At 47.3% G+C, this 16,797-nt stretch overlaps 2 protein-coding genes across 20 annotated transcripts in view, besides 4 other annotated features; one reads left to right on the top strand and one right to left on the bottom strand.

The window, feature by feature from the left end:
- Positions 1-11,066, top strand: part of HLCS (holocarboxylase synthetase) — a 241,587-nt gene extending 230,521 nt beyond the window's left edge. For 6 of the 14 annotated variants that reach the window (NM_001352515.2, NM_000411.8, NM_001352516.2 and 3 more), the window contains 2 exons: positions 2,936-3,149; positions 5,274-11,065. In NM_001352515.2, coding sequence (NP_001339444.1) covers positions 2,936-3,149; positions 5,274-5,445 — 386 coding nt within the window. In that variant the 3' untranslated portion in view covers positions 5,446-11,065. Of the gene's footprint in view, positions 1-2,710; positions 3,150-5,273 lie in introns of those variants that run through there. The other 8 variants (XM_024452065.2, NM_001352517.1, NM_001242785.2 and 5 more) reach the window with 4 other exon arrangements.
- Positions 2,782-3,283: an enhancer, noted in NCBI's record as "NANOG hESC enhancer chr21:38128709-38129210 (GRCh37/hg19 assembly coordinates)". NCBI's record gives its function as "activates a minimal SCP1, AML or CMV promoter by ChIP-STARR-seq in primed H9 embryonic stem cells {active_cell/tissue: H9 hESC(primed)}" and the evidence as "EXISTENCE:reporter gene assay evidence [ECO:0000049][PMID:30033119]".
- Positions 8,956-9,480: an enhancer, noted in NCBI's record as "OCT4-NANOG-H3K27ac hESC enhancer chr21:38122512-38123036 (GRCh37/hg19 assembly coordinates)". NCBI's record gives its function as "activates a minimal SCP1, AML or CMV promoter by ChIP-STARR-seq in naive H9 embryonic stem cells {active_cell/tissue: H9 hESC(naive)}" and the evidence as "EXISTENCE:reporter gene assay evidence [ECO:0000049][PMID:30033119]".
- Positions 9,481-10,006: an enhancer, noted in NCBI's record as "OCT4-NANOG-H3K27ac hESC enhancer chr21:38121986-38122511 (GRCh37/hg19 assembly coordinates)". NCBI's record gives its function as "activates a minimal SCP1, AML or CMV promoter by ChIP-STARR-seq in primed H9 embryonic stem cells {active_cell/tissue: H9 hESC(primed)}" and the evidence as "EXISTENCE:reporter gene assay evidence [ECO:0000049][PMID:30033119]".
- The window catches only part of SIM2 (SIM bHLH transcription factor 2), a 50,803-nt gene continuing 43,779 nt past the window's right edge, over positions 9,774-16,797 (bottom strand). For 3 of the 6 annotated variants that reach the window (NM_005069.6, XM_047440952.1, XM_011529694.2), the window contains 3 exons: positions 16,136-16,304; positions 14,555-14,963; positions 9,774-12,026 (listed from right to left, as the gene is read on the bottom strand). In NM_005069.6, coding sequence (NP_005060.1) covers positions 11,599-12,026; positions 14,555-14,963; positions 16,136-16,304 — 1,006 coding nt within the window. In that variant the 3' untranslated portion in view covers positions 9,774-11,598. Of the gene's footprint in view, positions 12,027-13,366; positions 14,964-16,135; positions 16,305-16,797 lie in introns of those variants that run through there. The other 3 variants (NM_009586.5, XM_047440953.1, XM_017028442.3) reach the window with 3 other exon arrangements.
- Positions 11,656-11,915: a silencer, noted in NCBI's record as "silent region_13289". NCBI's record gives its function as "represses an Ori minimal core promoter by ATAC-STARR-seq in GM12878 lymphoblastoid cells {active_cell/tissue: GM12878}" and the evidence as "EXISTENCE:reporter gene assay evidence [ECO:0000049][PMID:35858748]".

The raw sequence follows: 16,797 nt of genomic DNA, 5'->3' as shown, positions 1-16,797 counted from the left end.
TTAATAAAACAATAAAAATAAAGACGGTTTATGCATGCCTACATTGGCAGGAGCAGATTATCATATGAGGTTACTTTGAGTCTTGTAGTTTTGGAGCAGGGTATAGATGCAGAGAGATTGGTCGAAAGCACTTCACAGGGTTTAGCATTTTCTGTGTGTGACCACGGGAACCACCAAAGTGGTATCACATCAAACAGGTATGTTCCTACATCCTTCCACACTCCTGCTACTCATTGAATTTGAAATGGTGAAAATAAACATTTAACGTTCTATTCTGTAATAAGAAAAAGAAAAGTTAATTTCCTAAATAGTTCTCCTGGTGTCTTGCATTCTTATCGTGACCTTCCTGGGCCATGAAAGAGCTGGCATCATTTTAACCTTCAGAAGAAGCTCCATGCTGGTCAAGGCGGGGTAAAGAATCCCTGTTTCACCTTAGCACATCCAAATCAGGCAAGAAGATGGATTCAGAGGCAATCTCAGAAGTCCTTAGGTTCCTGGCCGTCCAGTCATCAGCCTCACTCTGTGGCAGTAGAACCTAATCTGTGTTCAGAAACCAGCAATGGTCAAAAAACATGTAACCATGTGTTTCAAGTGCCAGCCAGGGAATACAAGGCCTGTGTTACCAGCTCTGCCACCAAGGGGCAATATTATTCTAGGCAAGCTACTTCATACCCTTAAAGCTCCATTTCCTATCTTTTTTTTTTTTTGAAATGGAGTCCAGCACTGTTGCCCGGGCTGGAATGCAGTGGTGCAATCTCGGCTCACTGCAGCCTCCGCCTCCCAGGTTCAAGTGATTCTCCTTGCCTCAGCCTCCCAAGTAGCTGGGAGAACAGGTGCCCGCCACCACACCCAGCTAATTTTTTTGTATTTTTAGTAGACACAGGGTTTCACTATGTTGGCCAGGCTGGTATCAAACTCCTGAACTCATGATCCGCCCGCCTCGGCCTCCCAGAGTGCTGGCATTACAGACGTGAGCCACTTGCCCAGTCTCCCCCATTTCCTATCTTTAAGTGAGTAATTGCAGTTGATGCAGAGATTCCTAGGTAGGGGCCACAAGCAGGCTCATGGATGGCTTCAGGGAGCTAACAAATGTTATCAGCGTGGGGTAAGCGAAGGCCAGGCGTAGTGGCTTGAGCTCATAATCCCAGCTACTTGCGAGACTGAGGCAGGTAGATCACTTGAGCCCAGGAGTTCAAGGCTACAGTGAGCTTTGATCGAGCCACTCCACTCCATTCTGGATGACAGAGTGAGACCCTGTTTCAAAAATAAAACATAAAAAATAGGCCAGGTGTGGTGGCTCAATGCCTGTAATCCCAGCACTTCAGGAGCCTGAGGTGGGTGGATTGCTTGAGTCCAGGAGATCGAGACCAGCCTGAGTGACATGGCGAAACCCTGTCTCCACTAAAAATACAAAAAATTAGCTGGGCGTGGTGGTGCCTGCCTGTAGTCCTAGCTACTCAGGAGGCTGAGATGGGAAAATCACCTGAGCTCAGGAGGTTGAGGCTGCAGTGCGCTATGAGGGCTCCACTGCACTCCAGTCTGGGCAACTGGAGTGAGACCCCGTCTCCAAAAAATAAATAAATAAAAATAAAAAATAAAGTAGGGGAATGAAACATTTTCCTATGGTGAGAACCCATAGCTTTTATTGAATTCTGAAGGCCATAGGATGGGGTCTCTGACTTTGGGGATTCAGAGCAGCCAGCAGGGTGCTCACCGGTCCTTAGAAGGACATAGCCTAAGTGGCCAGTAGTGAGTGTTGCTACTCCTCCTAGGAATTCCAGTTTTCTGAACACGGGAGAATTTTCAGTGCTGTACAGCACTTGATTTAATGCCTTACGAACGTTCAGTAGGTGCTTCAGATCCTGTATGTATTGAATGAATGAATACGTGAGCAACTGCAAGTCCTGCCCCTGTTGCTGTAGTTACTTGTTTTTTTTCCAGAGGTAATTGACAATTGCTTTGTATTTTAATAGCCAGTATATTGTTTTAAAATCTGAGACCAGTCAATCCTTCCCTTCACACTGGAAACGGCAGGACACTTGCCGGGAAGGCTGTTGTTACAAATGGCATTGTTCTGCCTGTGGCGAATGTTTTGGGGATTTTTTTTCTTAAAGTCACTGAAAACATGGTAGTTTTCTTACTGCTTAGTTTTTGCAGTATTTCATTTCTTACTGAAGACCTCTCGCAGGCCGATTCAGGGCCCTGCTGAACACTGAAGTCCAGCTTTTCTGAAGACACCGCCCTCTGCCTGGAGAGGATAGTGGTGTTAAGTAACTGCACAGATAAGCCTATTCAGACACCATCCCTGGTAACTCTCATGAAGCCTTGGTTTAGGACCCTGCAAAAAGCCACTGAACATGAGTCGGCGTCTTGCCAACAGCGTAACCTTAGCACCAAAGACTTCCAAGAATAAAGTATTAAAAGATGCATTTCTAGGGTTATGCCATGACCAAGGTTTGAAATCTCTGAGTCCAGAGTTTACTTCCCAAGTCCTGAATAAAACTCTATTTTCAAGCGTGGGATCTGTTATTCAAGCAGGAGAAGAAACCAGAGATTTTATTCTCTCCTGGACTCAGTGCAGAGCTACAATGCTTGGTAGACCACTTATTTCAGAGGCAACACTGATACGTTTTGTCCCATATTTAATAGCTTCTATTGAATTAAATTGAATCAAATGTGGCTTTCTTTTTTCCCACCTTTTTATTTGCAGTAAGGTTGAGATGGTTTTAGCTTGAACAAGAATAATAAAAGAAGGACAAAAAGGAAGATGGACAGAAATACATGTCACTCTTCAAGTGGTTAGAGACACGAAATCTGAAATGAGGACAAGGAAGGAGGAAGTTGACAGTCAAGACTGTAACTTTTTCCATGTGGCAGAGAGGAATGTGTGATGCCATCAACAGGCTGAGCTGCTCAATTGTTTGTTTTTGTCCAGGCTGTGGATTTAATGTGACTAACAGTAACCCTACCATCTGCATCAACGACCTCATCACAGAATACAATAAACAACACAAGGCAGAACTGAAGCCCTTAAGAGCCGATTATCTCATCGCCAGAGTCGTGACTGTGCTGGAGAAACTGATCAAAGAGTTTCAGGACAAAGGGCCCAACAGCGTCCTTCCCCTTTATTACCGATACTGGGTCCACAGGTCAGTGCTGGCTCATCTTCATTCTTTTCAACTCCTTTATTAGTATCTTAGTAGTTCTGTATCTTTTTTTTTTTTTTTTTTTTTTTTTTTTGAGACGGAGTCTCACTCTGTCGCCCAGGCTGGAGTGCAGTGGCACGATCTTGGCTCACTGCAAGCTCCGCCTCCCGGGTTCACGCCATTCTCCTGCCTCAGTCTCTCGTCTCAGTCACCTGAGTAGCTGGGACTACAGGTGCCCGCCGCCACACCCGGCTAATTTTTTGTATTTTTAGTGGAGGTGGGGTTTCACCGTGTTAGCCAGGATGGTCTCGATCTCCTGACCTTGTGATCTGCCCGCCTTGGCCTCCCAAAGTGCTGGGATTACAGGTGTGAGCCACCGCGCCCGGCCGTAGTTCAGTATCTTAAAATGAGGGACCGAGCACTGGTCTGAATGATTATTTTCTGTGTCTCTGTTAGAGAAACTGCAGGGACACCACCTTGACCAAGTTAGCATCACAAGTAATGGAGCAAACGGGCATCTTATGCCTCCTGGTGGGATGCGATGGGAAGAACCGAAATAGTGAGAGAGTTTAACATTGGTTTAATCTGATTCTAATTGTGAGGAAACAATAGACGCATCTAAATTGTCAAACCTTCCAGGTAACAGTGGTTCTCAAAGTGAGATCCCAGGAAGCAGCCTCAGCCTCAACCAGGGGCTACTGCATCAGAAACCCCTGGGCTGGGCCCAGCACCCTGTGTCATAACAGATACTCCAGGGATTCTCATGCAGCTGAAGTCCGAGGACCGCTCACTGATTCCACAACAACAGGCCTGTGCCCTGCAAAAATGTCAGGTCTGCGCACAAACAATTAGACCAAAAGAAGGTGGCAGAATTGTTTGGGATTAGAGAAGACGAAAGAGGCATGACATCTAAATGTAATGTGTGTGATCCTGGATGGAGGGAAATAGCCACAAAGGATATTAAAAGGACAGTGGGAATGACGTGAACATGGACCGTTTGTATCCAGACTTTCTTGAGTGGTCATAGTTAATGCTATTATAATTTTATGGGAGGTTCTTGTTCTCAGGAGATAAAGTATTTAAGCAGAAAGTGTCACAATGCCTGCAGCTTTTAAAAAACTTTTTTTATTTTCACTTTTTTTTTTTTTAGAGAGGGTCTTGCTCTGTCACTGGAGTGCAGTGGTGCCATCATAGCTCACTACTGAAACCTTGAACTCCCGGGCTCAAATGATCCTCCTGCCTCAGCCTCCCAAGTAGCTGAGACAATAGGAGTGTGCCACACGGCCCGCTAATTTAAAAAAAAATTTTTTTGTAGAGGCAGGGTCTCACTATATTGCCCAGGCTGGTCTTGAACTCCTGGCCTCAAGCAATCCTCCCACCTTGGCCTCCCAAAGTGCTAAGGTTACAAACATGAGCTACCACACCCAGCTGCAACTTATCTTTATATGTTGCAGGAAAAAAAAATGTGTGCTTGTGTGTGTTTATGTGTGAAGAAAGAAAGCAAATACAGAAAATATTTTCATTTGGTGTGAGAATGGAAGAGAATATGAGGTTTGTTGCACTATTCTTTCAGCTTTTCTTTAGATTTAAAATTCTTCAAAATAAAAACTTGAGAAAATTCTATACTTCGAAAGCTGTTAAGAAGGACGTGACTTGAGTACATTTGGAAAATATTCAAAAGAAGTAGGATCAGGATGAGTTTCACTTGTGGCTGATATGAGCCAACTTTGTTTTATAAGATAAAACATTGTTTGCCAACTCGGCCTATTTTCCTCCAATCTCAGCCAAAAAACCTAGAGTTGCACAGTGTTTCTTAAAAGCGCTGGGAGGTGAGGAAGTGGTTCCAGCCATCACCGCAGATGACCAGAATTAGGAGGAGTGACGTTGTGTGAAGAAATTTCGACTCCTTGTTGAACTTGCATCCTGCTGGTTATTTGAGCAGTTCTTAAAACCATTCACCAGGGTGGAAGAAAGTCAGAGCTCAGCCCAGGCTGCCTTTTCCCTGCAGCGAGCCTCAGCCCTCTCCCCAGCACGCCCAGCTCTCTCATCATGGATTATTCTTCAGCTCATTGTCTTAAGTCGTCCTGTGACACCTCCCAGTGACCGCACGCTGTTCTTCCTTTTCAGTGGTCAGCAAGTCCATCTGGGCAGCGCAGAGGGACCAAAGGTGTCCATCGTTGGCCTGGACGATTCTGGCTTCCTCCAGGTTCACCAGGAGGGCGGCGAGGTTGTGACTGTGCACCCGGACGGCAACTCCTTCGACATGCTGAGAAACCTCATCCTCCCCAAACGGCGGTAATGCCGGGCGTCCCCGAGACGCGGCTGCCTGTCCGTGCCCATGCATCTGGAAATCTAATTTAGAGTTGTAGGTGAATTTTCTTTTCCTCCAATTCATTTGTTAAGTCTTTGTTCTTTTTCTGTGTTTCTGTTTGTTTTTAGGTTTGTTTTGTTGTCGTTTTCTTTGGTGTTTGAAGAGGCTCTGGGATAGATGGTTAAGAAGTAGAAAATTTAGTTTAGGGAAAGCCCTCCCACAGGTGGGAAATTGCTCTCCCCTCTGTGGCTTGGACTTACGTTTATTGTCAAGGGGAGTTTTTACATGGAAATGACAATGGGAAAATTCAGATATTTTCTTAGTAGTGCAGACCTTTACCCCTAGTCTATGAAAAAACAAACCAAAATATGCTCTTGCGCCCAGGCCAGTGGTGAGTTAGAGGTATGCTATCACTGTTTGTAAGCATCTGGGGAGGTACTGAACTGTAAGAACATGCTTGGACACTTAGTCATTGTTCTGTGTTTTTATTAATGAAGAAAAGGGAAGACAGACTTCCAAGAGTTACTGTCCACCCGGTGGTGTGGCCCCATAGCGAAGTCTAAATGCCTGTAGAGATAGAGCTAGCTGGTGTGGTTGCAGTGACCTTGTAGAGGAAATCAGTTCATTACTTTGACATCATTCAGTGAGCTCTCCTTTCCTAAGGAAGTTTAAATGTCCTTAGTTAGGGACTGACTTTCTTAAGTAAGTTTAAATTTACTACATATTGTGAAGAGACAGGATCAAGTTCAGAATCCTTAAATGTCTGATTAGGCATCACTTGGATGAGGAGGTGGGCGATTTGGCTCTGACAGCTGGAGATGAAGGCACACTCATACCACATACAAGGGAGGATTTGGAGCTTTTAAGCCAGTTTCAGATTTACTCTGAAATGTGGAGCATTCCTGCAAGACTGTGCAGCTCACGGAATATAGAAGACATGGCATTTTACTCAGAAGTCATAAGTTTTTGCCCCCCTCATTTACCTCGTATTACCAAGAAAGAAAATGTTATCGATACTAAACACCATCAGTTCAGAGGGAGGATGTGTGTGTGTGCCCGCATATGTGTGTGCGTGCGTGTGTGCGCACATAGCTTTAAAAGAAGACATTCAAAATTTGATGTGCTACAAGCCTCATGAAAGAACAAAAGAAATGAAGCCTTTTGATATGCATTCGCTATTCCCAGATGTACGCCATGCCTTTTCCATGTCCCTCCTATCTCTGTTGAACTTATGAATCATACTCATTACTTTTCAGCTTTTTAAAAGGCCAATTTTTGTCCAGTTTTCTCTCTTCCAGTCCCAGCTGAAATTAGTGGAAAGAAAGTTTGATGGAGCTTTCAGCTTTGAACAAAATCCCTTCATTGTAAACTAGCACCATCTTTATCCAGGTCTTACCCAGTCAGGCTAATTCCAGAAACTTGTGGTTTTTAGTATAGTCTGTCTACCTTTAGCCAGGCACAGGACAGCCCTATGAAAAAATACCCAATATATATTTTTTGGAAATGAAACATTAAAAGAACTTAAAAAGTAATTTTTGGAAATGAGGCTTCAATTAGAATTATTTTTCTCAAAAAACAAACAAACAAAAAACACAAAAAAAACCACTCTTCTCCAAATGCCCAAGCCTTCTTTCAAAATTAGTTAGAAACTTAAGTAAAATACAAGTCCACACCATCCCCAAATTACAAAATGGACTTACCCTTGAGAGGGCATCTGCAGAATATCATCAGGGACAAAGATCTCGAGGCTAACGATGTAGGTTTCATTTCTCAGACTTTGTAATATAAGGCAAGCCCTCTCTCAGAGCTGCCATCATCACTTTTTGAATTTCTTTGGGGGTTATTTAATGAAAAACATGCTATGTTTTGTTTTAAGCTGAAGTCCTATTCTGGACACTCTGCTTTGGGAAAAAATGTTATCATTTAATTTCCTTTCTGCAAATTAAAACTAATGAAGTGTGGCCTTGTCAAAGGCTATGGAGATGTTCCGGGCATACTGCTGTGCTCTGTGCTTTCCAGCAGGCGCTCCTCCCTCACGCAGGAGACTCAGTTGTCCTGAGAGAGATGAAGCAGCCTTGAAGCAGATGCTGCGTTTTCCATAAACCTGATTTTGCCTCACATGAACCAAAGACTCTCAAAACTCCGCTTCTATAGAATTAGCTGAATAAAGGCATTTTACTGATAGCTGTTCGTGTTAGCGAAACCTGTCTACCTGCTATAGCACACTCTCCGATTTGGGCCATTTATGCACCCCGCAACCTGGGATCTCAAGGAGCTTTAAAGTCTTAATGGGAACTTGGCATTTTCCTGATGATCTTTAAAATGTGGTCACTAAACTCAGGATTGGCGTGTGCTTTTAGAACACTGGAGTAGCCCTTGTTTTAGAGGCTGTGCATTGAGTATCGACCGTATTTTGTAAAAGGCAAGATATCCTCCCTTCCAGGCTGGTAACGGGTTTCAAGGGGACTCTTGAGGAAGTGCCCCCTAAAATAGAACACAGCAATAACTGGGCTTCCTGTCCCCACCCCCACCCCAGCAGTGCTCTCTGGCACTGGGAACTCTGCTAGGGAGTGGTGGAAGTAGGAAGGATTTGTGTGCAAAGGAAAATCGTGGTTGAGTTTCACTGCAGCAGGCTGACGTTGCCTGATGTGAGAGCAAGTGGCCGACTGGGGTGCGGGTGCACAGGTCGGGGGAGCACAGGCCACAGAGCGCAGCCTCTGGGGGTCCCCCAAGGCACAGCATATACAGCATGGTCGCCCCTTGCCCTGGAGTCTGGGAACAAAGAGAGGAGCCAGCCTCCCCGCACTGCTTCAGATGGAAAAGGGAGGCAGGGTGGGCTTCCGTTCTCCAGATCTGTTTGCTCTTAACAGGCAGAACATGGGAGAATCCTTATTCCTGGTTAATCACTATGCATATTTGAAATAAAAGAAAGCGTAAGCCTCTGCAATTTTAACTTCTCAAAGGATGTCTCTGAAAAGAATCACTTTAAACCAATGCCTATAAAAAGCAAGTCTACCAAAATAAACTAAGACTTTCTATGTGGTTTGGGCTCCCTCTTATTTTTACAAGTTTCATTTTTAAAAGTAGGCAACTACTTTGGGTTACAGTATTTTTATTCATATTTAAACATTTTTACAAAATAAATAAAGTGTTTTACATAGTAAGGAATATGTACGTATTTCCAAGTATTAAGAAGCCAAGTGTTTTTTTTTTTGACGTATTATTGACAAATGTATTCAGCGCCATACACAAGAGAAATATTATTACTCCAAAGAACGAAAGTTAACAAAACTCCAAAGCAAAAACCCTTTTAATGGAGGTGAGAAATAAATTTAATGTAACAACAGCTAGATTGTTTTTAGGATTTTTCTTTTCTTTTGTGGAAACTTCTTGACTTGACTTTTCATCTGAACAGTTTTTCCCCCCAAGATTTTAATCTTATATGTCATACTTAAGTTTAGGAACAGCTTGAATAATTAGCATTCTAGATAACACAAGGGCCATGATTCACTAAAATTCCAAGCTACTGTAATTTTATGGCATTTATTTGCAAATGTTCTTTGTATCTCATTTTATCTGTAGCAGTCCCCACTAGTCTACCTTAACCATCTTATAGCTCTGGTAAATTAAAACTTACGTAGACTTTATACAAGATCCATTGGCCGTATTAAACCTCCCCCACTCTTAGGGCTTAGGGCGGAAGGGACGAAGGCAGGGCTGATAGGACTTTTAAAAGGATAAAAGGAGTGGGGGCAAGGGAGGCGGAAAATACAGGCTCTTGCAGATACCCTCCGCGCTGCCCTCCACACCCAGCCCACTGCTCTACAAAGGTATGAATGGAATGGCTTTTCTAGAAAAGGGCTTCCAAGAACATAAAGGAATTCCTTTCCCTGGGAGGCCCCGTGGAGGGCTGAGCCAGCCTTGAATTGGGCTTATTTCTCAAATCCATTTGATCTGGCATTTTTGTCAACATGGTACATGTTAGGGCCTACGATGATTTTTTTTTCTTTTTTGTAAAAGAGAGGCATATGTATTAAAATGCTTCCTCTTCCCCTGCCGGAGCCTCACAGAAGTCAAGAAACGCTATCCCCAGCTTAAATGTGCAGACTCTTCAAGATGGAGGTCACAATATTAGGTTGCCACAGTAACAGCTCTGCTGACTTCACACTCAGCCCTGGCCGTCCTGAAGCCAGCTCGTGTAAGAATCTTCCTTCATGTTCTAGGTTATGAAAACGAAGTTTGTTTAGACAAGGACGTTTTCACTAGTACACATTTTCAAGTACATACACACTCTGTTACGCCTGTCCACGTTGTCACTTGTAAATCTATGATAGGGTCTTTTTTCTCAACAGTAACCTTTGTTATTGAACTGCTCCGATAGCCTTGATTTATTTTTACTAAATACAGCCCCAAAAGTTAATAACAAGGTAGACACAAAAGCATTTTGCAGTACTTTATTGAAAAATGTCGGTGGTATCTCCTAGTAATCAAACCTACACCTTTCAAGAATCACGGTTTAATTACAAGACTCATGAACATAAAAAAATAATACCCTCGGCTTATTTCCTGTGCACACACTCACAAGGAGCTGTGAATGAGGTATAGCTGAGTGCGTGGAGAGGCGGGCACATCCCTTCCTACCATCCAGCCCCTTCGCTGCATGACCCACGGTCCTAAATTTGCAAATTGTGACTCTTACCATGAGGCCCACTGACAGACACCCTGTAGGGATTGTGTCAGGTCCTCACTAAGTGACACAGGGTTGGCAAAAAAAAAAAAAAAAAAGTCAGTTCACATTTTGAGAGCAGTTGGTGTAGGTGCACTTGATTTTAGAACGATGAGTTTAAAACATTTGTGAAAACCTCTTTCCATTCAGAAAGGTGGAAAAAGTTTCCTAAAATAAACCATTTTGATAAAGCAGCAAAATGCTGCAGTGTTGATAGTGTGAAGAAAATTGAAGGACGGCGGTTCAATGCATTGTGCAGTTCAGAGCCATGACAGGATTTTTCCATGTTGAGATCTTTAAGCAAAACCCATAAAAAGTAAAAATTAATGGAAGCTCATTTTTTAAACACTGCTGGTGCTTTATGAAAGGATTTCTGTTTACCTGTTGCACACGTAACATGTTCTTACGAAGTTTTCTCGCTGTGTAGAAAATGCTTAAAATGTCTACATCATTTTCATTACACCCCCTTAAGCATGTTTTTCCTTCACAAGGTGCAGTCCATTGACAGTGTTCCGTATTGCACGTGCAATTTAACTTTATTAGCACTATTTGTAGCAAACACGAGCCTAGTGAATTACAGATCTGTGTGGGCCAGAGGGATTTTGCCACGTAATAATGAAGCTTGACAGGGTCATTCTCATAAACTGTCTGGCTACATATATATTTTTGCATTTAATGCCTATTCAATATATTCTGAAGGTGCTACTCTTGGTGTTATCAAGAGTTCATAGGGGTTAGGGGGAAGTAAGAGCTTGTTAATGTATTTGGGAAGCACACCTATGTTCACAGACACAAAATGGAATTGCATGGTCACCCCCTTAGTCTTGGTTTGTTGGCTTTTTGTATTGAAGAAAGGGTTAAATAAAAACAAAAATAATGAGACTCTTGAATGACTTTTAAAGACAGTGGAGTTGTGTATTCATGGGACTTACAATCATCACTTCTGCCTTCACCTAAGCATCTAAAAGGGCTCGTGACACAGGCGTCCCCTCCCAGGTCTGCCGTCCACTTGGAAGAGCGGACTGTGGTAGGGTGGGTTTTCCCTCCTGAAAGTGGAGGATATTTGCGGAGTGAAACCGCTTCAATCCCCCAGCGGGACTGTTGTGGAACGTTGGGGACAAGGCAAGACGCGTGAAGCCCGATTTCAAGGTGAGGAAACCAAGCCCCCAGCAACTGGGTCGCACCGGCCCTCGCAGGACAGAGGCGGGCGGTCACCTGCCCGGACCCGGGCGCTCCTCGGCCCTCGGCACCGGCGCGCGGGGCCTCCGCGGTGGAAATCCGCAAGTCGGCGGCGGGGTCCAATTCAAACAGCTGTCTCTGCATAAATTAATGTAGGTCGTGCGCATTTGCCGGGCTCGGTGGCGCCGCAGCCCCGGGAGGCCGGGTCCAGGCTCCTGGCGCGGGCGGCCAGCGGGTCACCTCCCGTTGGTGATGATGACCGAGGCGCCCAGGTAGTGCGGCAGGGGCGCGCCGGGCGGGGAGGTGGCGGCGGGGCTCGGGTGCCGGAGCCGCAGCGCGCCGGTCGCCGCCTCGGGGCCGCCGGGAGCGCAGGCCAGGCCGGAGGCGGCGGGTGCGGCGCCCCCCAGCGGTCCGCGCCGGGCCAGCACGCGGTGGTAGTTGAGCAGCACGAAGGGCAGCTGCGCCGGCGCGCCCGGGGCCTCGGGGGTCGGGGGCGCGCAGCACTCGGGTGCCGCGCGGGCCAGCGCCAGCCGCGCCCCGTCCCGGGCGGCCTGGCGGGCGGCTTTGGCCGGGCCCAGCGCGGGCTCCTCGCGGTAGTGGCCGCAGCTCGGGAAGCTCGGGGGCGCGGTGTCCTCGCCGAACCTGCGCACGGCGGCGGCGGGCGCTGCGGGGACAGGCGACACGTTAGAGGGCAGCAAGGGGCGCGGCCGCAGCCACCCCACCCCCAAGCCCCGGGCGCAGCCACCACCCCTCGGCCGCCCACGCGCTGCACCCGCGGGGTCGCTGTCGCCCTCCCCCGCCTTAGTCTAGGCCGTGCTGTCCAATCTCAGGACGCGACCTGAAATGTTCCAGGAGCCGCGTTACAAAGCAGGGAAACAGGTGGAATGCCTGTTAAGTAATACACGTTAATGCAGCATATCCAAAATACTCTCTCAATGGAATCCGTGTGAAACAATTATTGGGATATTTTCTTTTTTTTTTTTTTGGTCCTGAGATGCAGAGCGCAGGTCACACCTGCCTCACTGCACTGGCCACATTTCCATGTTCAAGACCACACGGGGTTGGTGGCTACCTGATTGGACGGCAGAGGTCTAGAGGCCACCAGGGGCCCTGGTGTTGGAGGGCCCCCGTCTGCTCTGATTTCTTCTGCCCGTCCCTTAGTGGAGAGGGGTGGTAACCACCCCGATCGGTTTCGCCGTGTCATAATGAAAAATAACCACTCCCATCTACTCAGTCCGATGCCTGACATTAAGTAGCTCCCTGGCTTGTGGGTTTTTTTTGTCTTTGTTTGTTTGTTTGTTTTTAAACACTATATGGCAAAATTTGTCTTCCTTTAATACCAAAAAGACTAGGAAGCTGATCGCAAATTGCCTCAAATTAGCACCTTTGGTCCACTTTTTATCAAGTGTGTGATAAGGAGATTGTTAACCTCTTTCACTTTTAAAATAGTGGTAAAAGTCAAATACCATGTGACAGCATTAGCCAGCTTCCGACACACAAATTCAAGTCAATCTCAAGTGGGTAATACTTTCAGCTGTTATCAAAACCCTTTGCTTTGTCTTCCTTTGCTTGGATGTTCTGGAGATCCCTTCCTTGGTTATATGAGGGGCCCAAGATGTTCACGGGTATGGCAGATGCAAATCTAAGGGATCCGTGGCTCCTGGGACAGGCCAGGTCAAAAGGCAGGGGTCCTGGCCCTGGTCACCAATGTGGTCTTTTCTAAGTTAGCTACTTCTGAAAAAACATGTCCTAGTGATTTCCAGAAAGGCGGCATTCTCCCGTAATCTATCTCTCTTCTCAGATTTGGGAAGAAATGTTATCTCAGCCTCAAGTCACAATACAGAGCAAGAGATTCCTAGGATTTGCAGAAAAAGCAGGATGAGGCCCAGAAGGAGCAGAGCCCTACCTGCCTCGAGAGAGGCGTGGAGGAACTTCCAAGAGCTGTCTTCTTAAGCAGGGGCTGGTGTGCTGCTTTTCTGAGGCACATCATCCTTTTTCTTTTTCTTTTTTTTTTTTGAGACAGTCTCACTCTGTTACCCAGGCTGGAGTGCAGTGATGTGATCTTAGCTCACTGCAACCTCCACCTCCCGGGTTCAAGTGATCCTCCTATCTCAGCCTCCAGAGTAGCTGGGATTACAGGTGCTCACCACCATGCCCAACTAATTTTTGTATTTTTAGTGGAGATGGGGTTTCAGCTTGTTGGCAGGCTTGTCGCAAACTCCTGACCTCAGGTGATCCGCCCACCTTGGCCTCCCAAAGTGCTGGGATTACAGGTGTGAGCCACTGAGCCCGGCCTGGGGCACATAATCCTGATGTCACCTTCACCCACATTTTAGTGGCACTGCAGGCATCTGCACCATCTCGGTCTACACTCTGAGCGGCAGTTAGGTCTCGGTGCAATGGGAATACATGTCCTGCAGCTAAACCTCTGTTCCCACCTTCCACCTTCTGCCTGGGGTTGGTCCAGCGAGCAAACAGGAGTCAGTCTGCGTCCTGGGGAGCTGGCGGTATCTCCGCAGAGGACATCTGCTTGCCTGCCACCAGGAGAAGGTGAAAGGCCATTCCTTTCTGTTGAACTAGCATGTACAGGGCAGGTCCCTACTGTGTGTCGTGTCCTTGGGAGTAGGCACATCACAGCTTCACCCCATTTTACAGGTGAAGAAACTGAGGCCTGGAGGGTTTGTGTTCTTTGCCCTGGGTTGGTGAGTGGCATTTCTGTCCCCAAGCCCACAAATTTCCACCATAGTTTTCCCCACTTCCAAAACTGGCATGGGAAAATAGCCAATAGGCCGTTTGTCTCAAATATTCACTTCTGGTTGGAGTGGAAAGGAATCTTGCAAAAGAAATGCAGCTGGGGTGTTCTCAGCACATGGGAGCTGGTTTTGAAAATCACTGTCCCCCTTTGGTTGGTGAATGTGGCCAGGATTTACGTGAAGGCCAGATACTCGGTTTTCCTTTGCCCTTTATACTGTCACTAGTGTCCCCGAGGCAGGCAGACTGCCATTTCTCACTCTCGAGGAGCACCTGCATTGAGAGCAAGAAAGCACAGCAAGCCCTACTTAGAAGCAGAAAGAGGGCAAGTTTGCCCAAAGCGTGAGGGTTCTGTCTCCATCTGCCACCCACCGCCATGGCTGCTTCGGCTCCCGGCCGTGCGCAGTCCTCCCACCTTCCCCACGAGCAGACCTGACCCACCTTCGTAGCTTGGCACCAGGCTGTGCCTAGCAGTGTTCGCCGGTGGCTCTGGAGGATTTTTAGCTGGAGACGAGCTGCTAGGCACTAGGGGGTTGGCATAATGCCACTGGCATTCACCGCTGGCTGGCAGTGTGCTCAGGAAAAAGCGTGCCACCTCACAAGGGGATCCTTGGGGCTGCCCGAACTTGGCCGGCAACATTGGCTTTTTGCTGCTGAAGACGTGAGAGTCCAGAGGGAAGTGTCCGTAATGGTAGGAGAAGGGCAGGCTGTAGGATGGCGTGTACAGAAGGTCACTGCTTTCTGAGTGGGGCTGCAGTTCTGGAGGAGCAGCAGCGCTTGCAGGGGGACTGGCTCTCCAGTTTCCGAGCTGGCCGCATTCCAGTTTGTCCATTTGGAACGAGCTGTATTGCTGCATGGCAAAGAAGATGGATGAAGGGCCAGCGAGGGGCCGGCAGGAAGCTGCCTTCCGGCCCTGCAAGAACCGTCCCGACGGGGCCCAACCCCATCCAAGGGCTGCCCCTACCCTCGCCACCACTGCAAGGTCCCACTGGGGACAGGCACACAGCGAGCGATACCCCAGTGACCTGCTCCCAGGGTGGAAAGAGATCCCCCACCCCAAGCTAACAAGACATCAGGCACACATGGACTCTTTCTTTCTTTCTTTCTTTCTCTTTTTCCTTCTTTCTCTTTCTTTCTTTGTTTTTCTTTCTTTCTTTATTTCTTTTTTCTTTTCTTCCTTCCTTCCCTTCCTTCCTTCCTTCCGTCTTTCCTTCCCTCCCTCCCTCCCTTCCTTTCTTTTCCTTCTTTCTTTTTTTTTTTTTTTTTGTCATAATGTGGAGGCCGTGACGTTCAACTGGTCTATCTGCTAATGACCACATTACCAAAGTTCACTTGGCACAGAACAAGTGATGGAGTCTTGCTCTGTCACCCAGGCTGGAGTGCAGTGGCACTGTCTCAGCTCACTGCAACCTCCACCTCCCGGGTTCAAGCGATTTCCCTGTCTCAGCCTCCTGAGTAGCTGGGACTACAGGCGCGAAGTTTTGTATTTTTAATAGAGATGGAGTATCACCATGTTGGCCAGGCTGGACTCAAACTCCTGACCTCAGGTGATCCACCTGCCTCGGCCTCCCAAAGTGCTGGTATTACAGGCATGGGCCACCACGCCCAACCGACAATTGCTATTTCTGAGAGCTCACAAACTACTTTTTTAAAAAGAGGGAGGGCTTTCATTTTTAAAATGCTGCAGAAATACAATGGACTGGTATTCTAACCCACCAGTCTAGAATCTAACCCGTGGATTCCAACCCGTCAAGCCCATTAGAATCTAACCCATGGATTCTAGTGGGCTGAAGTGCCTTTCCAATTTAGTCTTCTGTTTCCTAAACTTGACTAGCCCACCGGGATGTCGGCCTTCCCCGGGCTGTCACTACTGTGTAGGCAAGACATCCCAGAGGGACCTTGCTCCACGGCAGGGAGATCCCTGCTGTGCAATGAGAGGCTCCCCATTCCTTAATGTGTCCAGGTGTCCCGAACCCCTAGGATAGATGTCAGCACCCCAAAACTGCAGGACATGCGTGTTACCTGTGGGGGGTAAGGGTTTGTTCTCAGCTTTGTCTTCATCTTGGTATTTTTGGGTTTCACTAATTTCCTAGTTTCTTGTGAGGTAGACAAGGCGGTCCTCCAGGAGTCCTGGGACTTGGCAGTGGACACCTGCTCCAGGGACAGCTGAAGTTCCTTGTATTCAATCTCCCTGGAAGGCGAGAGTGGGCCGAGTCATGTCCAGCAGGCGCTGGAGGCCGAGCAGCTTCCCTGGCCCCAGCCCTTGGGCAGGGCGTTCTCAGTGCTCCAGTGTGTCTTTTCACTGGGATTGGATGTGGATGGGATTTGAGACAAGGCCAGCTCACCCTCATTATAAAAGCCATCTGCAGCCCCAGGCTGGGCCACCCCAGGAAATGCTGAGCCAGGTCAGAGCTCTCTCCAGTCCAATAAAACCCCAAACACATTGCTCGGGGAGGTCGTGGGCCATGAGGAAAGCCACCAAGGGAAAAAGAGACAGGCAGAAATACCATTGATCAGGTCCACCTGCATCCAACATGCACACCTGTGGCCCAGCTGCCTCTCCAGTTAGCACCCCAGGAGGCAAGAGTCCGGGACTCTTCACAGGTCTGGGAGCCTGACCACCAGCTTTGTGCATTCTCACATCGGGGGCCCATCTCTGCCCTAAAGAACCAACTCAGCAGGGT

Source organism: Homo sapiens, chromosome 21, assembly GCF_000001405.40.
Source record: "Homo sapiens chromosome 21, GRCh38.p14 Primary Assembly".
Lineage (NCBI taxonomy): Eukaryota > Metazoa > Chordata > Mammalia > Primates > Hominidae > Homo > Homo sapiens.
This window is presented reverse-complemented; position numbering and strand designations above follow the sequence as displayed.